The 25,312-nt window shown below is 53.4% G+C and overlaps 1 protein-coding gene and 2 long non-coding RNA genes across 3 annotated transcripts, besides 1 other annotated feature; 2 read left to right on the forward strand and 1 right to left on the reverse strand.

The window, feature by feature from the left end:
• Positions 1–2,971: 2,971 nt before the first annotated feature.
• Positions 2,972–5,331, reverse strand: FAM99B (family with sequence similarity 99 member B). Its single transcript, NR_026642.1, has 3 exons — positions 5,140–5,331; positions 3,896–4,004; positions 2,972–3,736 (listed from the first exon to the last, which is right to left on the reverse strand). It is a non-coding gene; the product is annotated as a family with sequence similarity 99 member B (long non-coding RNA).
• Positions 4,667–5,436: an enhancer, noted in NCBI's record as "H3K4me1 hESC enhancer chr11:1706195-1706964 (GRCh37/hg19 assembly coordinates)". NCBI's record gives its function as "activates a minimal SCP1, AML or CMV promoter by ChIP-STARR-seq in primed H9 embryonic stem cells {active_cell/tissue: H9 hESC(primed)}" and the evidence as "EXISTENCE:reporter gene assay evidence [ECO:0000049][PMID:30033119]".
• Positions 7,332–14,442, forward strand: LINC02708 (long intergenic non-protein coding RNA 2708). The gene is made up of 3 exons (NR_187232.1): positions 7,332–7,656; positions 7,767–8,031; positions 8,205–14,442. It is a non-coding gene; the product is annotated as a long intergenic non-protein coding RNA 2708 (long non-coding RNA).
• Positions 14,443–16,896: 2,454 nt separating this feature from the next.
• KRTAP5-6 (keratin associated protein 5-6) lies at positions 16,897–17,457 on the forward strand. Its single transcript, NM_001012416.1, has one exon. The coding sequence runs from the start codon at positions 16,948–16,950 to the stop codon at positions 17,335–17,337; it is 390 nt and encodes a 129-aa protein (NP_001012416.1). The 5' UTR covers positions 16,897–16,947; the 3' UTR covers positions 17,338–17,457.
• Positions 17,458–25,312: the final 7,855 nt, after the last annotated feature.

The raw sequence follows: 25,312 nt of genomic DNA on the forward strand, positions 1-25,312 counted from the left end.
GTCTGGGAGATTTCACTGTTTCAAAAGGAAACACTTCTTTATTGAAAATCACAGTAAAAAAATGACATAGTACAGATTCAGAGAAAATGTTTCTTACAAATATAACAATAAAAATTAATATCTCTGATATCCAAATTGATTATACAAATCAATAGCAGCTCAGTAGAAAAATGGACTAAACGTATGAATATTAATTCTCACACTTTTTATGGAATAATGTTTAGAAAAAGAAAAACTTTAAAATTCACAGAGGGGCTAAGTTTTAGGGAATAGTTTTGAGTGTCATCTATATAGTTTTTCTCAATAAATATATTAATGTAGTAAATTACATTGAGTGCTTTTATATTTTAATTTAGTTTTTCCTAAATTGATCTAGATAGATTTTTTATCAAAAATACCAGGAATACATATTAATCAACACACCAAAATATCAAAAATATTTTTTATTAGATAAATTGATTCTAAAATGTGTACAAAGGGGCAAAGGAACTAGAATAGCTAAATGATAAAAGAAGAAGAAAGGAAGAATCGTGCCCCTCAATGTTAAGAGTTACTCAAAAGCTCCCGTAATCAAGAGTGTCACCGTGGGTGTGGGCACAGCAGCTCATGCATGTAATCCTAGCACTTTGGGAGCCTGAGGAAGGAGGATCTCTTGAGGCTAGAGTTCTAGACCTGCCTGGGCTACATAGTGAGACCTCATCTCTAAAATTAAAAAAAAAAAAATTAATTAAAATTAAAAAAATAGAAAATTGAAAAAGAGAGTGTCACCCCAGGGAAGAGAGAGAGTGGAGGTAAAGGGGCGTGCAGACCCCCAGGATCACGGCCACCTGGCCTCCCACAAGGGACCAAGAGCCGTCAATGCCAGAAGAGCCGCTTTCCCAACAAGCCATGCTAGAGCAGACTCATGGGTTCAAAAATGGCCGTAGACCTACACGTTCATATGAAAATTAACTCAAACTGGGGCTGGGCACAGTGGCTCATGCCTGTAATCCCAGCACTTTGGGAGGCCGAGGCTGGCAGATCACTTGAGATCGGGAGTTCGAAACCAGCCTGGCCAACATGGTGAAACCCTGTCTCTATGAAAAATACAAAAATTAGCTGGGCGTGGTGGCAGGCACCTGTAATCCCAGCTACTTGGGAGGCTGAGGCAGGAGAATCGCTTGAACCCAGGAGGCAGAGGTTGCAGTGAGCCAAGATCATGCCACTGCACTCCAGTCTGGGCAACAGAGAGAGACTCGTCTCGAAATAAATAAATACATTAATAAACAAAAATTATCCAGGCGTGGTGGCAGGCACCTGTAATCCCAGCTACTTGGGAGGCTGAGACATGAGAATCATTTAAACCTGGGGGTTGGAGGTCGCAGTGAGCCAAGATCACGCCACTGAACTCCAGCCTGGGAGACAGAGTAAGACTCCGTCCCCCCCCAAAAAAAAAAAAAAAGTAAAAATAAAGGAAATTAACTCAAATTGGATCAAAAACAATAACACTTTTAGAATAGAAGAAAGTGTCCAGGACCTGGGGCTTGGCAAGGACTTCCTAGATATAACATCAAAAGCATGATTCATATATATTTTAAATCAATGAATTAGATCTCATTGAAATTAAAAACTTTTATGCCGTGAAAGATCCTGTTAGGATGGATGAAAAGATAAGCTGTGGGCTGGGAGAAAATGTTTGCAAAACCCATGTCTGACAAAGGACTCGTATCTAGAATATAAGAAGAACTCTCAAAACTCAACGGAACAGGGCCAAATAATCCAATGAAAGAAGGATCATGGAGACAAGGTGGAGATGGCAGATGAAGTCACAAAACGGCCTTCAACCCGCGTGGCCCCAGGGAAACACAGGCTGGGACCATGACCCAATATTTCTCCGTACCTATTAGAACAGCTAACGCAAAATATAATAACAAGACCAAATGCTGGCAGAGATTCGGAGAAACGGTATGACATTCACTGCGTGTGGAATGTAACATGGCGCACCCACCATGGAAAAGAGTTTGACAGTTTCTTAAAAAAGCGAAACAGACTCTGACCATTTGACCCAGCAGTCACACTCCTGGGCATTTGTCCCAGAGAAAGAAAGATTTATGTTCACACAAACACCTATACGTGATTGCTCATGGCAGCGCTATTTGTAATAGTCAAAAGCTTCAGTAGGTGAATGGTAAACAAAGAGGTCCTTTCCTACCAGGGGAGGCTACTTATCAGTAAAAAGGAACTAACTGTTGACACAGGAAGCAGCTTAGATGGTCTCAAGGGCATGTTCCTGAGTGAAGAGCTCATCTGAAAGGGTCCCACGCATTCCATTTACATCACATTTGCAAAATGACAAATTTATAGCCATAGGAAAAGGCCAGAGGGTGTGAGGAGGAAGGAACGGGGACATGGGCAGTGAGTCTCTGGGATGAGGCAGCCCCGGAGATGGCCGTGGCAGTGGGACAGCTCTGTGTCCTGTTCCTGGTGGTGTGTACACAAATTCCCACATCCTACAACATGGCAAAAACCCAGATACACACACTGTAGCACGGTCAGCTTCCTGGCTTAGACACGCACTCCAGCTAAGGGAGACGAAGCCGTTGGGAAAACTGGTTGAGGGGCATGTGGAAATCTCTGTACTAGTTTTGAGACTTCCTGTGAATCTGTAATGATTTCAAAATAAAATCTTTAAAAGAAATCACGAGCTTGATAAAGAGAATATACATTGTATGCTGCCTTTTGAATAAAAAAAAAATTAGACATGCAGGTATTCCGTTATTGTTGCAAACAGAAACCACGGGAAGAAGGAGACAGAACTCATGGACTCGGTGAGTGGAGAACAGAAAGTTTGAGCGTCTGAGGTTACTTAACGATTTCACATTTAAAAATTATTTAAATTAAGTAAAAAAGGATACAGAACACATAAATGGAACACAAGAAAACAAACAAATGGGCATTTTCAACGCATAAATGTTTAGGAGTGGAGACCGACCAAGAGCCGCCTTGCACCGCAAATGGGCCCTGAGGTCCAGGGCTGCAGGAGCAGGGTGGGGAGCCCGGCCAGATGGAGGGGCAGACACCGGCACCCGCTGCCTACGTCACCGCCCTCAGTGCTGCCCACAAGCGGGTGCCCCACTGGGTCCCGCCACCCCAAATCCCAGTGCCGGAGCGGGGCCCGGCTCTGCCACCCGCTGCCACCCGGTGTGGCACCCAGGCCCTGCTGGCACAAGGCCACGGCTAATCTGCTCTCAGAGGAAGCTGAGGAGGTGAGGAGGCAGCCCTGCCCTCGGTGTTTCCCAAGCCCCCTTATCCCAGCAGATTCTTCTCGGGGAAGATAAGCTCCCAGCTTAGCCAGGGCGGGTGGGAAGTCAGAGCTGCTTCCTTAATTGGCATTTTCCAGTTGAGAGCACATTCTCTACCTTTTTCACTTGGATCAGCTAATTGCCAAATGTTTTCATTTTTGAGAAGAAGTAAAATTGCAGAGATTTGGGATTTAGGGAAGGAATGCAAGGATCAATTTTGCCTAATTACGAAATGTCTCGGCGGTCACTGTGACGGGTCCCAGAGTCGGCCGTGTGGACCCCGGGGCCTCCCGGGCGGTGGGGGGCCGGGGGCTCTGATGCAGATGTTTACCTGATGTCGTGGGCCTGAATCTGGTTTACATTGGAAATCAGACTGTTTACAGGCCAGCACATCTGCCTCTTCCTCTGGCTCTCCTTCATTCTGCTGTAATGTTCTGCAGGTCTCGCTGGGGTCTCTGTGGGAATATCTGTGACACGGAGTGAGCCAGGCCAGCCCGGGGCGGCCCCATCCGGGGACAGCAGCTCACGGCCTGGCCCCGCGTGCGCAGCCGGGGCCTGGGTTGGCGGTGGAGATGGGGAGGGTCTGGGGGCCCCTGGGTGGGTGGTGGGGGTACCGTCAGCCCGGCTGCAGGGTTCCAGCGGAGGACAGGGAGCCTTCTCCATCCCTGAAAACCATCGCGGGGACAGTGGACTCATCAGGATGCCGGGACCCTCTAGTGTGTTCTGGAAGCAGAGGCTGGGTGTGGGCACGGGAACCTGTGATTGTCCCCAGACACCGAGAGGCCCACAGGACCCCCAGTGCCCAGACCCCGGCTGCAGATCGGGGGGTCCAGTCATGTGTCGGGGAAGGAGGAGGGGAGCAGGGGCCACAGACAGGGGGTCCAGGAGGGCAGGGGGTCCAGGAGGGCAGAGGACCCAGGACAGCAAAGGGTCCGGGAGGGCAGAGGATCCAGGAGGACAGGGGGTCCAGGAGGGCAGGGGGTCCAGGAGGGCCCAGGAGGGCAGGGGGTCCAGGAGGACAGGGGGTCCTGGAGGGCAGGGGGTCCAGGAGGGCAGGGGGTCCAGGAGGGCAGAGGGTCCAGGAGGGCAGAGGGTCCAGGAGGGCCCAGGAGGGCAGGGGGTCCAGGAGGACAGGGGGTCCTGGAGGGCAGGGGGTCCAGGAGGGCAGGGGGTCCAGGAGGGCAGAGGGTCCAGGAGGGCCCAGGAGGGCAGGGGGTCCAGGAGGACAGGGGGTCCTGGAGGGCAGGGGGTCCCGGAGGGCAGAGGGTCCTGGAGGGCAGGGGGTCCCGGAGGGCAGAGGGTCCTGGAGGGCAGGGGGTCCAGGAGGGCAGGGGGTCCAGGAGGGCAGAGGGTCCTGGAGGGCAGGGGGTCCAGGAGGGCAGGGGGTCCAGGAGGGCCCAGGAGGGAAGGGGGTCCAGGAGGACAGGGGGTCCAGGAGGGCAGAGCCACAGCAGGCTGGGTGCTGCTGCTACAGGGGGCTTCACCCCAGCAGCCCCCTGCACTGCCCCTCTGACAGCCTCCACCTTTGACCCCCCAGAACAATGGGCTGCTGTGGCGGCTCTGGAGGCTGCGGCCCCAGTCATGGGGCCTGCGGCTGCCATGGGCTGAGACCCTGCTGCTCTTCGTGGAGACACTGATGTCCTTACCAGATCTCCCGGGCCCGCCCTCAGCCTCCAGGCTGACCAGGCTTCCTGGGCCTCCTAGGACACAGCCCTGGGTCTCCTCCTCTAGGATACTGGATGGGAATCTGCGGCTTCCAACATCCACCTGCCCGCCTTCCCCTCTGCCCTGTCCCCTTGCTGCCATGGCCGCCTTTGTCCTCCCTGGAGATTCAGAGAGCAGCCCCGTTCTCAGTTACCTGGCCTTCTGGGTCCTTGGGAGGTTCTGACCTCTTCCCAGCAGGGGCCCTGGGGGCTGCGTCCTGCCTGGTCCAGGCCTTCTCACCCTCACCTCCCTCTGGGCTCAGGGAGCTGGGGCCACACAGCCCAGAGAGGCTGGTCTGCCCAGGACAGGCCACCCTCCTCCTGCTCCCAGGAGTGCCTGCAGCCCTGTCAGTTTCCAAGAGTGTCTCCTTCAAGCAGCCTCGTCAGGTCGAGCCACCCCCAGTGCCCTCTCTCCTCTGGCAGCCGCGCTCCCTGCCCTTCCTCCCCACCTGCTCAGTCCTGCAAAGCCTCCTGCCTAGCTGGACACCTGGGGGTTCTGTATCCCACACTCCAGGGGCCTCCTTCACATGTCGGTGACCTCTGACACTCCAGGGGCCTCCTTCACATGTCGGTGACCTCTGACCGCTGTTTCAGACCCACAGCTCCTGGGTGCACTCAGCCTTGGGTCCCGATGGCACCAGAGTGTTCCACGCCTGGGGCAGCGCACTCATTGCAGATCTGGCCTGAGACTCAGCAGCCGGGCACCCCATGAGATCTACTTTCTGAATGGCGTCGTCACCTGACTGGGCATACAGGCCACGGACCCCATGGTCATTTGGGCACTGACCCCTCTCACACCCCCCAAATCCCACCTGAGAGCAGCCCATCAGGCAGGCCCCATATATTGGATGCCTCTAAGTATCAGCCTTGATGTCCCTCTAATTCCAGCCCTGGTGTCTTCTCCCTGGGACACCCTGCTGCTCCCTCTAGCTGTGCCCTCCACGGTGACTCCAGACATGCGGATTCAGCCTCTTCGCTCCAGGACCAAACTCCTCAGCAGCTCCCACTACTCCCAGCATGCCATCCAGCTCCTCAGCCCAGCAGCAAAGACAGGCACAGAATGGCTCCCGAACCCATCGCTCCGGTCCGGAGAAGGAGCCCTCCACCCTCCACGCTCCATTCGCTGTCCCCTTGCGGGCCCCTGTGAGGAACCCCAGCCAGAGGCACCAATGGCCGCCACTGACTTTCACCCTGTCCTGAATCACAGGACCAAGGAGGCTGCCCCGACAAGGGTCGCTTCCAGACTCACTCCCTGTCAGCCACTGCCACATGCCTGCCGTGGGCAGCATTGGAGGACAGGGGGTACTCTGTCAGTCAGCCTAACAGGCTGGTCCGTCCTTCCTTCCTTCCTTCCTTCTTCCCTCCCTCACTTCCTTCCTTCTTCCCTCCCTGCCTCCCTCCCTTCCTTCTCTGCTCCCTCCCTCCCTCCTCCCTCCCCCTCCTTCCCTGCCTCCCTCCTCCCTCCTTCTCTGCCTCCTTCCTCCCCCTTCCCTTCCTTCCTTCCTTCTCTGCTCCCCCCCTCCCTCTTTCCCTCCCTCCCTCTTTCCCTCCCTTCCTCCTCCCTCCTCCTCCCTCCCTCCCTTCCTTCCTTCTTTCTTTCCTTCCTTCCTTCCTGCTTCTCTCCCTTCCTCCCTCCCTCACTTCCTTCCTTCCTTCTTCCCTCCCTGCCTCCCTCCCTTCCTTCTCTGCTCCCTCCCTCCCCCCTTCCCTGCCTCCCTCTTCCCTCCTTCTTTGCCTCCTCCCTCCCCCTTCCCTTCCTTCCTTCCTTCTCTGCTACCTCCCTCCCTCCTCCCTCCCCCCTCCCTTCCTTCCTTCCTCTCTGGTCAAATGCGGGTACATGAGAGTTCCCACCATCCCCATGGTAAGTGCACAGTTCCGTGGCATTGGGAACCTGCACGTGGCTGTGCCACTGTCGCCACCATGCAGCTCCAGCACCTTTTCATCGCGCGAAACTGGAGCTCCGTCCTGACTAATCACTCACTCCCATCGGCCTCTGTCACTGGCCCTGCTGACTACCATTCTGCCATCTTCCTCTTGAATCTGACTCCTCTGGGGGCCTTCCATCTGTGGGGTCACAGCATTGGTCCTATTGTGACTGGCTGGCTTCACTCGGCACGAGGCTGTGAAGGTTGGTGGCGTTGCTGCAGGCGTCAGAGCACACTCCTTTTCCAGGCTCCGTAAGACCCCGATGTGTTTGTCTACCCCATTTCAGATCCCCTCACCTGCTGGGTTGTTTCCACCTTTGGGCTATTGTGACTGCACGGCTGTGAGCATGGGTGTCTGAGTCCATTCTGTGTAGCCATAAAAGAACCTCTGTGATGGGGTAATTCATCAAGCTCACAGTTCTGCTGGCTGAGAAGTTCAATGGCATGGCCCTGGCTTCTGCTGGAGGAGGTCAAAGGGGAAGCAGACACGGGAAGAGAGATAAAGCTCAGGGATGTCTTGGCTTCAGAACAAGCCCCACTCATGGGAACAAATCCATTCCCATGGGAACTCACCCTGTATCACAAGAGGAGAATCACTCCCAGCACCACGGACTCCCCAGGGAGTCACTCCCACGACCCACACGTCTCCCTCCCCTCAGGCCCCACCTCCCTACGCTGCCACACTGGGGGTCCCGTTTCAACAAGAGTTTTGCTGGGAACAGATGCACTGACTACATCCAGGTCGTGGTAAGGGCTGTGCAAGTATTTGAGTCCCTGCTTTGATTTCTTTTGGGGATAGACCTAGGAATGGAATGGCGGCTTCGCAGGGTAATTTTGTGTTTACCTGTTTCTGGAAGGAGCACACTGAGCTGGCCAGAGCAGGCTTGTGTTTTCCTCTGTGCTCCTTCCTGCTTCCCAGGATGCAGATGAGATGGCAGGTGCCCCAGCAGCCCTCGCCAACCATAAGGCATGGATTCCTCACCTTCGGCTCGGGGAGCACAGAGACTGAGGGCCGTGGACTCGGGGTGAGATGGTGGCACCTCCATCACAGACCCACAGTCTCTGTGTCCAGCCCTTCCGGAAAGATGACAGAAATGAAAAGTCTGCCTTATGGAAGACAAGGTTATTCAGAATTTTCGGTTCTGTATGGTCTCCTTAGAAACATTAGCAGACTTTAAAAAATGAAAATAGCCCATGTTCATTGTGAAAAAGTGAGCCATGGCCTCCGGGGCACCGGAGCCACAGAGCCACCACGCTTTGCTTTTGTTTCTCACTCCCCTACTCTCCCCACATAGGCACCGACGCTTTCCCTGACAGCATCATCATCACCCAACTAGGGCAGCTGACCCGCGTCTTCCTCACGACGTGGAATGGTTTGAGTCAAGGGTTTTCATGGCCATGAGCCACGTGGAGGCTGTGCCTTTTGTTTCCTGTGAGAAATCTTCAACCAGCGCCACTCTCAGCCTCCCCTCTGCCAGCGCTTCTGTGGCTGCACCTGCATTCGTGGGCTGTGGCTGCGAAGCACAGGAATAATTGATGGCTCTGGGGCACTTTGCTGGGCTGCTTCCAGAAAAGTTGACCCCTCCCTGCAAACCAGCACTGCCCAGCATTCTTGTCCCGCCAAGCCTGACTGTGAGCTGTTGTGACGTTGCCACTTTGCTCGGAAAGGACCCCTTACCTTTTATTTCCCTTGCATTTCTTTCAATTCTACCATTGACCATTTCTCATACGTGTGGTCATCATTGTATTTCGCCCCCATTTTGTGAGGTTTAGTGTATTCTTAAAGTTTCCTGGGTTTTGATGAGAGCATATTCTGTCATTATATTTAACAGGTGTTTTCCCCAGCTTGGATGTGTTTGGCCATTAGCTTCTTTTCTGCTATTTTACACTAGTCTGTTATTCTTCACTACAAAAGGACTCTGCCGAGGGTCCCCATGCTCCCCATGCTTCGGGGTGTGAGGTAGCAGGGGAAGGCAGGTGTCCTTCCTTCTTTGAAGTGCGGGTTGGGGCAGGACAGCAGACCCTGGGGTCACTGCTGAGGAGGGGAAGGATGGGATTAGGACTGTTCTCTTCCTGGCCTCATGAGCTCCCCCAGCTCCTTCTGGTGGTTGGAGAAGAAACCTCCTGATTGTCACGGAGAGTGAGTTTGTCCGTGGAGCTTTTCCTGCACGGCTCACATAGAACGGGCTGTGAGGTCCCTCCACTGAGCAGCACGTGCCAGGCCGGGTGCCCACGACTGTTGGGAAAACCCAGGCCTGTATTCCAGGAAGCAAAGGTCTTTAGATGAAGGTTTTAAGAATGAAAATTAACCCACAGAATGGTGAGGTCAGTTGGAGCCTGGATTCCATGGGGTAAGACAGCCACAGCCAGGTGGGCATCCTGCTCCTTCCCTTTCCCCTGTCCCTGCCCACCGGCCATGCCCTAGAGTAGGGGCACACTCGGACCCCAGCCCAGCGCCCACCCATGCTGCCTGCAGGCCTGCGAGGTCCCACAACCCCTTGGCATGCAGCGACAGCCCGGGGCCAGGTGTGGGTGAGGCTTGGGATTTCCTGGCACAGCTGACTTCATGTTGTGGCCTGGCAGCCTCGGGTGGTGTCGGCAGATGCAGGAAGCCACGGGCGCAGCTCCCTGCCTGTCCCGGCCGTGGGTGCTAATGCAGAGTGGGTTCTGTGGCTGGTCACACAGGCAGCCGGGTGGGTGCAGGTCATCCCGGGGATGGCCTTGCACTGTCTGATCCCCGGGGAGGGGAGGGTCTTTTCGCTGACCACGCTGTTTGCTGCGTGCTTTTTGTTTGCCAAGGGCTGCAATGTTTGTCGTCTGCCGCAGTGTTTGCTGCCGGGTGAAGAATCGCTGGCCCTGTGTTGTCACCTGGGCCCACCGTGACAAGGTCCCCACCTCTGTTGTGGGACTCGGGGGCAAAGTTCCCTGCTGTTCACGCTGCAAGTGACAAGGGCCTTGGTCTCTGAACCAGGAGCCTCTGAGTCCTGCCCCACAGGGCTGAGCCCTGGCTGGGAGCAATGTTCTTTGGGGGAGACAGCAGCTTCCTCACTTCCATGTACAGCCAGATGCCACGGGATGTGGGGAGTGCGACAGGGCCGTGGGGAGTGTGACAAGGCCTTGGGGAGTGTGACAGGGCTGTGGGGAGTGTGACAGGGCCTTGGGGAGTTTGACAGGGCCGTGGGGAGTGTGACAGAGCCGTGGGGAGTGGGACAAGGCCGTGGGGAGTGGGACAGGGCCGTGGGGAATGGGACAGGGCCGTGGGGAGTGTGACAGGGCCATGGGGAGTTTGACAGGGCCGTGGGGAGTGGGACAGGGCTGTGGGGAGTGCGACAGGTCTGTGGCGAGTGTGACAGGGCTGTGGGGAGTGCGACAGGGCTGTGGGGAGTTTTGAAAGGGCCATGGGGAGTTTTGACAGGGCTGTGCGGAGTGTGACAGGGCTGTGCGGAGTGTGACAGGGATGTGGGGAGTGCGACAGGGCTGTGGGGAGTGTGACAGGGCTGTGGGGAGTGTGACAGGGCTGTGGGAAGTGCGACAGGTCTGTGGCGAGTGTGACAGAGCTGTGGGGAGTGCAACAGGTCTGTGGCGAGTGTGACAGAGCTGTGGGGAGTTTTGACACGTCTGTGGGGAGTGCAACAGGGCTGTGGGGAGTGTGACAGGGCTGTGGGGAGTGCGACAGGGCTGTGGGGAATGTGACGGGGCTGTGTGGGAGCAGGTGGTCCTGTGGGGCATCCCGGGGTCTGTGCTCAGGCTGTGGGAGGTGGGGCTGGCAGGGGATCCTGGAGAAACACCTTTGGGGGCTCAGGTTTGGTGGAGCTCCCACTTCCACAGTGGCTCTGAGTGGGGCCTGAGCAGGTTTTCCTGGCAGTGGCTGAGGGTGGGTGGGCCTGGTAGGTACTGGGCTGCTCAGAAGCCAGCCAGCTCCATGTTGCCCACCTCAGCCTCCCAGGCTTCTCAGGGCCCAGCTGTGCTCTGTCCCTGGGGCCCTTCCCTCCCCGGACACTGCTCACCCCTGGCAAGGGCTCTGCCCTGGGACACACCCTGCTAGACCCTCAGATCTGATCCCAGCCCTTCCCATGTGACTCCCTGGGTGCTCCCAGATGACTGGGATGTGGGGAAGGATCAAAGAGCACTTTGGTTGTCTCTGTAACTCTTCTAGTGATTAGATAAGGGCTGGATTTAAGGATTACTTCTGCAATGCAAATAGATGAAAGGAACAAGCTAAATAACAAACTCTTCCCATTCCCAGAACAAAGTCAGCTCTGGCCTGGTTCCACGTGCCCTGTCCAGCACGTCCCCCAAGCGCAGGCATGGGCCCCCGGACCAGCCGCGGACCCCTCCTCGCGCTTTGCAACGCCTCACAGCTGGCCCCGCACCCCTGGGGCAGGACCACTCCCTCTTCTTATTCTTCTCTGTGTCACCTTCCCAGACTCTGCACATAGTCGGCGCTACATAAATGGTGGCTGCAAAAAGGAGACGAGCAGCAGAGCAATGCCCCAGGGAACAAGAGGGGCGCTGTTGCCAAGGCCAGGGCCAGGGTATCTGCCCTGAGGCCTGAGCCCCACACGACCCAGGGCTCCAGAGCCCCATGGCCCATCTCACTGCTGGGGCTGAACCCCCAGGGCCCCTGCAGCCACTGCCTCAGGAGGTCAGGTTGGGGTGTGGAGTAGGAGGGACGGGTGTTTCCAGGGAATCCCTGTGTAGGTGGGATCCAGAGGGCTTGAAACCCTCAAGCTACCAGCCAGCTCCACGCCTAGGACAGGCCTTATTAGAGTTCAGGATCTGCCAGCTCCCAGGGGCAGCCTCAATGTCCGGGGTGGATGGGGGTTTCTGTGGGTTCACTTCTGCCCCCAGCTGGGATGCCTGGAAGGAGAGCTCAGGGACAGTGTGGCCAGACCCTGACCCAGACAGAAGATTCTGTCTGAGAGACCGGGGACCTTCACAGAGGGACAGAGGCCCAGGAAGCAGCGGCTGCTGCTGTAAGCCTACGGCGAGAGCCATGGTCACAGAAGACCCACTTGTTGCCAGGCGTTTTGCCTTCACAATGGCAAAGTCTCCCAGTGGCCCAGGAGAAAAGGGAATGCTCATTCCATTCTGCCTGCCAGAAAACAGAGGCTGAGGCCCAGAGGCTCAGGCAACCTCCCCAGGTTCACCTCATTTGGAAACAGCCCCTTCCCATCCCCGGTTGCTGCCGCAATCTTCTAAGGGGACTTCCTCAGAGGTCATTAAATGCATTGAAAACTGGTTCTGGTCCTCGACCCTAAGCTGCTGGAGGAGGGGGTGTGGGAGCAGATTCGGGGTGCACCTGTGTGTTCAGGTGAAGGCGGAGGGAAATTAGTCATGGAGCTAAGCTGAACCACCTGCTGGGCCCCAGGCAGGCAAGGCCCTGTGGGCAGGTGGGAAGCCAGAGGCCGCCTCTCACCCCGGGGAGGGGCAGGGGCTGGAGTGACGGTGCAGGGTGAGATTTTGGCCAGGCACAACTCCATCCATCCCTGCATCCCCAGGAAGCCACAGACACCCAGGTTCTGAGAGCCCGGCTCTCGAATGTCCCTCCTCCCCCGACCTCCTTCGGTGCCCCTGGCCATGCCAGCCCTGAGCATGAAGCCTTCAACTTTCCCACGCACCCACTTCCACTCTCCAGGGCTGAGGAGCAGGAAGGAGATGGCTTGGAGGGGTGAGCCCCTGTCCTGTTCTCAGAGGGTCACAGCTACTCACTACCTGCTACGAAGACAGGGAAGGGTGGGAGCCGTTCTAAACCAGCATCAGTGCATGCCACAAAATAGAAGCCGTGCATTACAAACTAGAAACGAGGGCTTGGTTGCAGGCACCTTCCCTAGAGACCCTGGCTGAGCAGAGGCTGGGGTCTGGCTGCGCTGCTCTGACGGTGTGCACGGGCGGGCTAGGCACTCGCCCTGAGTCCCAGAAAGAGGAGCCCACAGATACAAAACTTAAAGGATGTGTTATTTTATTTTTTAATTTAATTTTTGTTTTTTCAAAAGCATCAAAGTCATTGTGATTGGAAGGAATGCGCAAGTTGGTCTGGGGTGCTGTCCCTGGGCGCCGAACCAGCCGGGGACATGGCCCCTGGAGAGCTGCCGACCCCGGGGCTAGGGGAGTGGTCTTGCGAGGAGCCTTTGCTTCCCACTCGCCGGCCGCCCCGCGGGGCCCTCCTGCCACCAGGTGGCGCTTCTCGGCCAGCCCGGGCCGCAGGACCTGCAGTCTCGTTTCCCCAGGAATGGCGACGGCCCTGTTATTCCCATCACAATTTTACAGGTCAGAAAAGGAGACTCGGAGTGCATATATAGCAACTTGGAGAAAGTCGCAAGGGACGAAGGACCCTTCCCCGGACACAGGAACCTTCTGGGGGATGGGGACAGGGACTCAGGTGCAGAGAAAACCAGAGCTGCTACCGTGGGGACAGAAAGGGAGTCTACCCAGAGACAGCAGAGGCAGGAGCTGCCCCCCCTCTTTGCCCCCAGTGGCCCCGAGCGAGGGGTTGCCACCACCTAGAGCCTGGGGACCAGGGGCCAGTGCCTGGGGACGGAGGCCGTGGTCGAGACAGGCGAGGGATGTGGCGGAGACAGGGAGGCCCAGGTCGGCTGGCACAGGGCAAGGAGCAGGCGAGCCGACCCCAGGGCCTTGCCCTTGTCACGCCCCCTGCCATGTTCCTGCTGGCCCCCTTCCTGTTCTGTGAGGTCAACACGCAGGAGAAAGGGGCAGAAGGGAAGGTCTCCCCACACCGAGGGCTCTGCCCGCTTGGGCCAGGGGTTGGGGGGTGGTCATGGCACCAGGGCTGCTCTGAGCTACAGCCCCGAGGGGGGGCCGGGCGATGCCTCCTCCTCCGTGCCAGCCTGTGCCGGGGCCCCTAGGAACCCCCAAGTCCCTGCCTGTGACCTCTGCAGAGCCCAGCAGGCGCCTCCCCGCCCTCGGCCACAGGCTCGGAGCTCACGGCCCCCAGGGGGCGCTCAAGGACTGCTCATCTGCGCTTCTGCCGCGGGCAGCTCTGACCCCTCCCGCTGCGCTCCTCCAGCCGCATCCCTGCAGCCTTGGGCCCTACTGGCCCGGGGGAGGAGGCACTGCGCTTTGGGGAGGAAGAGAGACTAAAGGGGAGACCGAGAACCCCGGGTCAGGAAGCGGAGAGCTAAAACGACAACCGTGGGTCAGCGGAGGCCGGCAACTTCATTTCATGACCTCTGGCCTCCAAAGCAGCTCTGCAAAGTGGTCAATGCTCCTCTCGTTGTGTAGATGAAGATACTGAGGGCCAGGGAGGCTGTGGACTGCCTGATGTCACACGACTGGTGGGGCGGCGGGCGGGTCTGTCCCCAGGCGATTGTCCTCGAGGCACACGGCGGGGCAGAGCTTGGAAGCGGCCGAGGTGGGGGTCCCTGGGTGTGGATGTAGTGACCCCGGAGCCACGTGGAGCCACCTTCAGACCCAGAGCTGAAGCAGGAGGGTGACCGGTAGAGCAAGGCCGTGCACACCCCCGTTGCAGAATTGAAAACGCGCCTCAAAATAAAACCCCGTGTTTCACAAGAATGCACTAATTCCCGAAGATATCCGGGCGCACGGGATGCAGTGGGGATTGGAGATGCAGGGGCCATGCAAGTGAGAAGGACCCTGCTCAGCGTGAGGCTCTGATGGTCTTGAATTCCTTTGCCATGCTCGGACAAGGGGCCTGCGCTGTCACGTTGCTTTGGACCCTGAAAATTCGGGAGCCCGTCCTGAGCCCACGCTGCCATAGTTGCCAGGTATCCAGCATATGCACAAAACACCTCCACGCCGGTGCTCTGCCCTGCCCTGCTCTGGAGACCCACATCCAAGGACAGGTCTCTCCTATGGCAGCCCTGCTCCCTGCCCTTCTTCCCCACCTGCTCAGTCCTGCAAAGCCTTCGGCCAAGACTGACACCTGGGGGTTCTGTCTCCCACACTCTAGGGGCCTCCTCCACATGTCGGTGACCTCTGACCACTGTTTCAGACCCACAGCTCCTGGGTGCACTCAGCATTGGGTCCCTATGGTATCAGAGTGTTCCAGGCCTGGGGCACTGCACTCACTGCAGACCTGGCCTGAGATTCAGCAGCTGGGCACCCTATGAGATCTAGTTTCTGAATGGCGTCGTCACCTGACTGGGCATACAAGCCACAGGCCCCGTGGTCTGTGGGCGGCCATTGTCCTGTGTGTGGGGTGGGGCACTGGGACCCTCCCACAGCTTTGGCTTTCTCAGAGTTTCTATCCCTGTGTCCTCCTCTGTCAGCAAAGCCCAAAGGTGGGGGGCTCCTGAGCTGCCACCTCCTTTGTTTCTCCAACTCTGCCGGTTCATTGGACTATGCCCTTGGTGCCTCACAGTGTGCTGACTGACAGCATCTCTAAGCCCTAAACCACTGAGCCTGGAGTCATCCAGCTCCAGGGAAATGACTCTGCAGGGTCACGATTCCTGGGTCTGCACTCAGGCCCCCTCTTTCCAACCAAGACAGCAGGATCCCAGGTATCCTGAGACCTGTCCTGATCCTGAATCCTGTCCTGATCCTGAGTCCTGTCTTGATCTTGGGTCCTGACCTGATCCTGCCCTGAGTCCTGTCCTGATCCTGGGTCCTACCCTGATCCTGTGTCCTGCCCTGATCCTGAGACCTGCCCTGATCCTGGGTCCTGTCCTGATCCTGATTCCTGCCCTGATCCTGTGGTCCTGCCCTGATACTGAGACCTGCCCTGATCCTGGGTTCTGCCCTGATCCTGAGTCCTGTCCTGATCCTGGGTCCTGTCCTGATCCTGAGACCTGCCCCGATCCTGAGTCCTGTCCTGATCCTGCCCTGATCCTGAGTCCTATTGTGATTCAAAGTGCTGTCTTGATCCTGCGTCCTGCCCTGATCCTGAGTCCTGTCCTGATCCTGCCCTGATCCTGGGTCCTGCCCTGATTCTGAGTCCTGTCCTGATCCTGGGTCCTGCCTGATCCTGAGACCTGCCCTAATGCTGAGTCCTGTTCTGATCCTGAGTCCTGTTTTGATCCTGAGTCCTGTCTTGATCCTGGTTCCTGCCCTGTTTCTGAGTCCTGTCCTGAGCCTGCCCTGATCCTGAGTCCTATTCTGATCCTGAGTATTTCCTGATCCTGGCTCTTATGAGATCCTGGGTTTCATCCTGTTCTACCCACGGGTGATAGCCCAGGATGGGGTCACCTGCTCTAGGGTGTCTCCATGCGTGGTCTCCCTGTGCCTTCTGTAAACTTCCCCTGAGACTTTCGGAGTCAAGTCAGCATCAGCATCAGCATAGAAGTGGGTTGAATAGGACCCCCTCATTCCTGTCCACCTGGAAACTCTGAATGTGATCTTATTTGGACACTGGGTCTTTGCAGATGTAATCAAGTTAAGATGAGGTTGTACTGGAGTAGGGTGGGCCCTGATCCAATGTCTGGTGTCCCTGTAAGAGAAAGGAGGGGAGGAGGTCAGACACAGACACTCAGTGGAGAAGCCCACTTGAGGATGGAGGCAGAGACGGGGGATGCAGCCACAAGCCAAGAATGTCTGGCCACCACCAGAAGCTGGAAGACGCAGAAAGGATCCTTCCCTGGAGCCTTCAGAGAGTGTGTGGCCCACGGAGAACTTGATCTTGAACTTCTGTCTGCCTGAACCGCGAGGCACCAATGTCCGCTTTAAGGCTCCCGTTGGGGGCCATTTGTTATGGCAGCCCCAGGAAATGAACACTGGTAGCAAAGATGAGCGCAGCATCAAAGCCAAGTCCCTGCTCCCGTTGCCCTTACTAACACAGAAGGACAGGGGCCTTGTCATTTTTCAGAGGACATGTGAGGGAAATCATGAACTAAAGAAAAAGTGCAAAACTATGTACACCACTGAGGTTATTTTAAGATTAAGCAAACAAACACAGTTTCCCTAAGGAAATGGCACAAACAGGAACCAGGAAATGACTGTGTGTCCAGCATCACACCTGATCCTGGGCAGGGATATAAAGGGCCCAGGCTCAGGGAGCTCCATACCTGCACACCTCCCTCTCACCTGCTCCTCTACCTGCTCCACCCTCAATCCACCAGAACCATGGGCTGCTGTGGCTGCTCTGGAGGCTGTGGCTCCGGCTGTGGGGGCTGTGGCTCTGGCTGTGGGGGCTGTGGGTCCAGCTGCTGTGTGCCCATCTGCTGCTGCAAGCCCGTGTGCTGCTGTGTGCCAGCCTGTTCCTGCACCAGCTGTGGCTCTTGTGGGGGCTCCAAGGGGTGCTGTGGCTCTTGTGGGGGCTCCAAAGGGGGCTGTGGCTCTTGTGGGGGCTCCAAGGGAGGCTGTGGCTCTTGTGGCTGCTCCCAGTGCAGTTGCTGCAAGCCCTGCTACTGTTCCTCAGGCTGTGGGTCATCCTGCTGCCAGTCCAGCTGCTGCAAGCCCTGCTGTTCCCAGGCCAGCTGCTGTGTCCCCATTTGCTGCCAGTGCAAAATCTGAGGCTCTGACTTTGGACCTCAGGTGAGTCCAGCATATCCACACCACCCAAGAAGTGACCAGTGCTGCATTTCAGTTCTGGCTGTCCCACAGCTCCAGGAGTTGTGTCCCCTGAATTTTGCAGAAGGTGATGACTCCAGGTTCTTGGCCTTTCCTGACTCCCTTTCTGGTCATTCTTCATGAGAACTCTCTTCCTCTCTCCTGGTGCCCAACACCTTCCCAGTTCCCAGAGCCCTGCAATCTCCTCCAACAAGCTCCCTGCCAGGTCCTGCTGCGACAGGGCCCTCCCTGTCCATCAGTCCTCCTGTCCTCCTTCTCTAGAGCAGCTGCAGGTCGGGGAGGCAGTGGAGATCTGCCCCCATCCCCAAAGGCTCCAAACCTTCCTCCCCAGGAGACGGCCACTCTCGCGGCTTCTCTCTCAGTTAAGGTTCAGCAGGACCTGAGACCCTTTAAATAAACACATTTCCCACCCATGAGGCTTGCTCTCACTGTGGCTTTAAAACAAACAAACAAACAAACAAAAAAAACTTTTATTTGAGGTTCAGGGAGCATGTGCAGATTTGTTACACAGGTAAACTCGTGTCATGGGGGTTTGTTGTACAAATTATTTCATCACTAAACCAAGTACCCATTAGTTATTTTTCCTGATCCTCTCCCTCCTCCCACCGTCCACCCTCCGATAGGCCCCAGTGTGTTGCTCCCCTCTGTGTGTCCATGTGCTCTCCTCATTCCACCCCCACTTGTAAGTGAGAATATCCAGTATTTGGTTTTCTGTTCCTGAGTTAGTTTGCTAAGGATAATAGCCTCCAGCTCCATCCATGTTCCTGCCAATAACACGATCTCATTCTTTGTTATGGCTGCATAGTATTCCATGGTGTATATGTGCCACATTTTCTTTATCCAGTCTACAATTGATGGGCATTTTGGTTGATTCCTTGTTTTTACTGTTGTGAATTGGGCTGTAATAAACGTGTGCATGTGTGTTTATGATAGAATGATTTATGAGTCCAGCAGCACATCAAAAAGCTTATCCACCACGATCAAGTAGGCCTTACCCCTATGATGCAAGGTTGGTTCAACCTACACAAATGAATAAATGTGATTCATTACATAAACGGAACTAAAGACAAAAGCCACATGATCATCTCAATACAGGCAGAAAAGGCTTTTGTTAAAATTCAACATCCCTTCATTTTATTTTTTATTTTTTTGAGATGGAGTCTCGCTCTGTTGCCCAGGCTGGAGTGCAGTGGTGTGATCTTGGCTCACTGCAAACTCCATCTCCCAGGTTCAAGTGATTCTCCTGCCTCAGCCTCCCGAGTAGCTGGGATTACAGGTTTCTGCCACCATGCCCGGCTAATTTTTGTATTTTTAGTACAGACGGGGTTTCTTTTTTTTTTTTTTTTGAGACGGAGTCTCACTCTGTCGCCCAGGCTGGAGTACAGTGGTGCAATCTCGGCTCACTGCAAGCTCCACCTCCCGGGTTCACACCATTCTCCTGCCTCAGCCTCCTGAGTAGCTGGGACTACAGGCACCTGCCACCACGCCCGGCTAATTTTTTTTTATATTTTTAATAGAGACGGGGTTTCACCATGTTAGCCAGGATGGTCTCGATCTCCTGACCTTGTGATCCACCCGTCTCTGCCTCCCAAAGTGCTGGGATTACAGGCATAAGCCACCGCGCCCAGCAGAGACGGGGTTTCACCATGTTGGCCAGGCTGGTCTCAAACTCCTGACCTCAAGTGATCCGCCCGCCTTGCTCTCCCAAAGTGCTGGGAGTATAGGCGTGAGCCGCTGTGCCTGGCTGACATCCCTTCATGCCAGAAACTCTGAATAAACTAGGTCCTGAAGGAACACACCTCAAAATAACAAGCACCGCCTACCACTGCATCTCTTTCCCTGCAGCTCTTGCCTGAGTGAATCTGCCTGCAGGGTCAGCCCATTCCCGGCCCGTCACTGAATGTGTGTTTACTGAGCTCCTCCTGCATCCCACGTGCTCACAGCTGACAGGGAATCAGAACCCTCCCCTGCAGCTCAGGTCCTGGGTGGAGACAGCCTATCCAGTCCTCCAGGGACCACAAGGTGGGTGTCCTTTTTCTTGACTCCCATAGCAGCTGTGACTGAGATGCAGAGCTGGCACACACCTGGGCATGGCCCCACACGCAGGTGGCATGGGTGCAGTTCTAACCTCTCAGTCCGACTGCAAATGCTGCTCATAACCACAACAGAACATTTGGCCAGAGACTGCTCTCCTCTCGGGAGCCACACTCAGGGACATCACCAGGAAGATACCTCCTATCCCAGGCCCCGTCTCACCATGGCTCTGACAGCAAATGTGGGGGCAGAGGTAGTGCAGGGCAGGCCCTGGGGAGGACCTTGGCCAGTCAGTGGCGCCTTTTCCTGAGGCCCCAGTATGGCTGCCTTGCCAGTCCTTCCTGACTGTCTCTGCCCTCAGCCCCTGAGCCCCAGGCCATCAGTGACTTGGTGGCCCTGGGGAGCAGCCTCTCATCTTTCTGCCTGGCCATCCTTGGCCAGGAGGTCTCCCTGCTGACCACTCCATTCGGGTCTAATTTGGTGCTTCCAGTGTGTCCATGGATGCATTATGATTCAAAAATAATCATCGCACTCATACTCACGGAGTCTGTATCATGTTGCCAGGCTCTGAGTTCAATGCTTTGCATCCTCTATCCCGGTTACGGAAGTGAAAACCACAGAGCCAGAATCTCAGCCCATGTCACTTGGTCCCCAAGGCCTGATGCTACCCTGATTTTCTTGGATGCCGGCTGCCTCACCCAAAAAGTGTGGATTATGTTAGAGTGAAAGTTCCCCAGGAATAAAACCACCCAAAAAAGACCAGAAAGGGTAGAAGAGACATCGATATCATGGCATCCAGATCCAGGAAAATGACAACCAGAGAGCCCAGCCTTTAATGTGAGCTCCCTAGCAGTCAGAGCAAAAAGGGAAAGAGGGGACACATAGGCTTCATCACCTGGAGGAGGGAGCAGCACAGTTTACAGCAGAAATACGCTCTGTCACGTTTCAGAGTGAAGAGTCAGTTGGGGTGACAGCTGTGGAATAGAGGTGCCCCTCAGGGAAGAGGGTCCCTCGCTGCTGTTGCCACATTGTATTAAAATAAAACTATAAAAAAGTGGACAAGGTATCCATGTAGAACTCAATAAGTTTCCACAAAAGCTGAACACCTTCCTAGAACTGGCCCTCAGAACAAGAAATAGAACATTCCGGCACCCCAGAAGCACCCATTTCTAATTGCTACCCACTCCCCACCAAGAGTAACCATGAGCTTGAATTATCCCATCAGACACCAGTTTTGTCTGTTACTGGACTTCATAAAACGCCATCGTAGGCCGTGTCCTCTCATGGCCAGCTCCTTTGGCCCCAGACTATGTTGGCGAGGTTCATCCACTGTGTTGCATGGAATTTGCCCCGTTCGCGGCTGTTGCTGGGTCCTGAATTGTAAGAGTGCAGCGCAGCATGCACACGCACTCAGAGGATTTGGTTTTAAGAGCTGCGTGGGAGGGTGCAATGCAGAAGACAAGTCTTTGTTCTGCACAGTGGGTGGTTGGAGCTCAGAGCTGCTGCCCAAAGCAGAGATCCCGGAAGGGACTGTGCCCTCTGATGGGGGTGGCTAGAAGGCAACCCAGCCGCTGCCAGAAGGAAGGGACTGTGCCCTCTCATGGGGGCAGCTAGAAGGCAACCCAGCCACTGCCAGAAGGAGACAGCAGAGAAATACGTTTGCTGAGTCTGAGATGGGTGATAAAAACATTTCCTTTGAGAAGTGACAACTTCAGGCCCACCATTATCCAGGTGGGAGGCACACATTGGCATCAGTTTTGTGGTCCAGAAAACCACAAGCTGAGCAAGTCACTTAAAGTGGTCCTGAATTGATAGGACCCAGAGCAGCCCGGTGGAAGGAAGTGCAGCAAAACTTCAGACAAAGTCTGTGTCCTCAGCCAAGGCCCTGAGCTCCCCACCTACAGCCGAGGCAAACATGAGCTCACAGCAGAAAACCACAAGCACACAAGGAAAGCAGCCACCGTGGGCAAGAGCCAGCACCCGCAGTCAGAGACACATGGAGACACCAAGGGCCATGAATGAGGACATGAGGAGATAAAATACCAGCTAAATATTTAAAACAATGGGCTCACCCACTGTCTTGGGACCACGAAGGCTCTTCTGAGAGAGAAAGTTTCCTATCCTCAGAGTTTTAGGTGAACATATGGGTAAATCTAATGGGTTATTCTCTTCAAAATGTGTTTGATGTTGTAAACAAAAATCACACCATTCTCTGGTGGGGTTTTCAAAATGAGTATTTGTCATTTATGAGACAAGTGGTCTCTATTGCGGGAAGATTCCTGGATTCCACCTAAATTAGTGAAATATCGATTCTAAGTACACAGTGCAAAAGTAAGCAATATACCCGTACTCTAGAACAACCATTAAAAAGATATAAACAAAGAATATAGTCAAGCTGGTTCTTTGAAAAGATCAACATATTTTTTAAATTTTAGCAAGACTGGCAAGATGAAAAAGAAAGAAGATGCAAATTACCAATATCAGGAATGAGAAAAGGGATATCACTTCGGGTCCCACGGACATTAAAAGGATAATGCAGGAATACTGCACGCCGCATACATTTGGAAACTAAGAGGAAAGGGACCAATTGCTCGAAAGACATGAACCACCAAACTCAAGAAGGAAGAGGGAGCCTGAATATCTCTATCAAGAAACAGAATTTGTAGTTAAAAGCCTTCCCACACAAAAAAACCCTTCAAGGCCAGATGGTTTCATTGGTTAATTCTACATAACCTTCAAGGAACAAATAATCTGAAAGCAAGCAGGAAAAAATATATAAATTTATGGATAAGTGTGTATGTATGCATATAAAATTAGAAATCAATGCAATAGAAAATAGCAAAACAACGGAGAAAATTTATTCAACCAGCCAGGCGTGGTGATTCACGCCTATAATCCCAGCACTTCGGGAGGCCGAGGTGGGTGGATCACTTGAGGTCAGGTGTTCGAGACCAGCCTGGCCAACACGGCAAAACCCCATCTCCACTAAAAGTACAAAAATTAGCCTGACGTGGTGGCCCATGATTGTAATGTAAGCTACTTGGGAGGCTGAGGCAGGAGAATAGCTGAACCCAGGAGGCAGAGGTTGCAGAGAACTGAGCTGAGATCGTGCCACCACACTCCAGCCCGGGCAACAGAGTGAAATTCCATCTCAAAAAAATAAAAAAAATAAAACAAGAAAATTAATTAAACCAAAATCTGGTTCTTTGAAAAGATCAATAAAGATCAATAAATAAAGATCAAAAAAGATAAGCCTGTAGCAAGACAGACAAGAAAAAAGAGCAGACACACATGACCGAGGTGTGTGTGGGATATCACCATGTTGGCCAGGCTGGTCTCAAACTCCTGACCTCAGGTGATCCACCTGCCTTGGCCTCCCAAAGTGCTGGGATTACAGGAGTGAGCGTGCCCGGCCCAAAACTGTTCTATATGATACTGTGATGGTGAATAAATGGCATTCCACGTTCATCATTTGTGTTGTAGAACGTACAACATGAAGAGTGGAGGTGAAGGTTAGGTCTGGACTTTGGGTGCTCACCACGTGTCAATGTTGGCTCATCAATGATGACAAATGGGCCACCCTAGTGTAGGATGCTAACAGCAGGGGACGTTATGTAGGTGTGGCAGCAGGTGAAATACGGTAATTTTCTATACATTCAACTCAATTTTGCTGTGAACCTAAAACTGCCCTAAAACATAGTGTGTTTTCTGAAATACGTCCAAAAATAAAAAGTTATAAATCTAACAAAATATGTACAGAATGCACATGTTATAAATACAAAACACTGATGAAAGGAATCAAAAAATACCTAAATAAGTGGAGAGAGTCGTGCATTCATAGATTTGAAGACACAAAATAATAAAGACGTCAACTTCCCCAAAACTGATGTGCAGATTTAATTGGATTCCAACAACAATCTTAGCAGGATTTTTTGGTAGATATTCATAAGCTGTTTATGAAATTTATGAGGAAAGGCAAAAGAAAATAGAATAACCTCAAGGATCTAGAACTAGAAATACCATTTCACCCAGCCATCCCATTACTGGGTATATACCCAAAGGATTATAAATCATGCTGCTATAAAGACACATGCACACGTATGTTTATTGCAGCACTATTCACAATAGCAAAGACTTGGAGCCAACCCAAATATCCATCAATGATAGACTGGATTAAGAAAATGTGGCACATATACACCATGGAATACTATGCAGCTATAAAAAATGATGAGTTCATGTCCTTTGTAGGGACATGGATGAAACTGAAAACCATCATTCTCAGCAAACTATCGCAAGGACAGAAAACCAAACACCACATGTTCTCACTCATAGGTGGGAACTGAACAATGAGAACACTTGGACACAGGAAGGGGAACATCACACACTGGGGCCTGTCGTGGGGTGGGGGGAGGGGGGAGGGAGAGCATTAGGAGATATACCTAATGTAAATGACGAGTTAACGGGTACAGCACACCAACATGGCACATGTATACATATGTAACAAACCTGCACGTTGTGCACATGTACCCTAGAACTTAAAGTGTAATAAGAAAACATTTAAAAAAGAAAAGAAAATAGAATAGCCAAAACAATTTTGAAACAAGAAATATAGTTGGAAGAATGACATTAGCTGACTTTGAGACATTCCATAAAGCGACAGCAATGTAGACAGTGTGGTATGGGCAGAGGGGTAGACACACAGATCAAGGGAAAAGCACGGAGTTGAGATGTCACTCGCACACACAAGACTGCGCTAATTTATGACAAAGGGGCAAGACAACTAAATGGAGAAGTGTCTGCTGCAATCACAAAATACCTGTGACTGGGTATTTTACAAACAATAGAAGTACATTTCTCACAGTTTTGGAGGCTAGACGTCCCCAGATCAAGGTGCCAGTATTCTGCATCTGGTGGAGGCTCTTTGCTGTGTCCTTTTGGTGGAAAACATAAGGGGCAAAAAGGACCCAAGCTCATCCCCCCCAGCCCTTTAATGAGGCACTAATCTATGCCTGAGAGCAAAGCCCTGACTTGATCACTTCTCAAGAGACCCCACCTCTTAGTAACACCATAACAGGGGTTAAGTTACAGCGCATGAATTTTGGGGAACGCATTCATACCAGCGCGCGAAAGGAGAACCGTTTCCAAAAAATGGCATTGGAACAATTGAACCGCCGTAGACAAAACGAAAACAAAACCTCAACCTCAACCTCATACTTTATATAAAATTAACTCTATGCCCATCATAGACCTAAATGTTGAATATAAAACAATAAAACATTTGGAATAAAACAGGAGAAAGTCTTAGTGACCTTGAATAATAAAAACACACTGTGTAAGAAATAATAATGTGAGTGAAATTCAGTGTCCTTTAAAGATAAAAGGTCACGTCATAAGGAGAGAGACACACTTGGCAGTGCTCCTGGTTGCTGGTGGAGGACCAAGTGAGTCCTTATTTAGAAGGGACATTTTTTTTTTCTGTGCCATTTTCTTCATCGAACATTTAGTCCTTTGAAAGCTTGTGATTATCTTATGTTCAAATGCTATGAAATAATAAAGTCACAGGGCAGTCCCACTGCAGCGTGACAATGAGGGGGAACTCCAGAGATCCACTTCCATGTGAAACTGGTGAAGACTTTAAAAACAAAAACAAACGAAACCCCACCCCCAACAACCATTTAAAGCATCTGCAAATGGCCCTGTAGCCATTTCAAATAGAGAAACATTTATTCAAGAAAATCGACTAAAGCTTAGTGAGAACTGTGTGAGTCTGTGGTATCTGAGCCAATGCGTGTGCCCTCTCCCAGCCCAGTGAGACAGAAGCTCCACTCCAGGCTGTACAGCCAGGAATGCAAGACTATCTCTCCTCCAGTTTCTGTAATTGCCC

Source organism: Homo sapiens, chromosome 11 (assembly GCF_000001405.40).
Source record: "Homo sapiens chromosome 11, GRCh38.p14 Primary Assembly".
NCBI classification, from domain to species: Eukaryota; Metazoa; Chordata; class Mammalia; order Primates; family Hominidae; genus Homo; species Homo sapiens.

Coding starts and splice junctions, on each gene's coding strand:
- KRTAP5-6 (NM_001012416.1), top strand. CDS start 16,948: ATGGGCTGCTGTGGCTGCTCTGGAGGCTGTGGCTCCGGCTGTGGGGGC.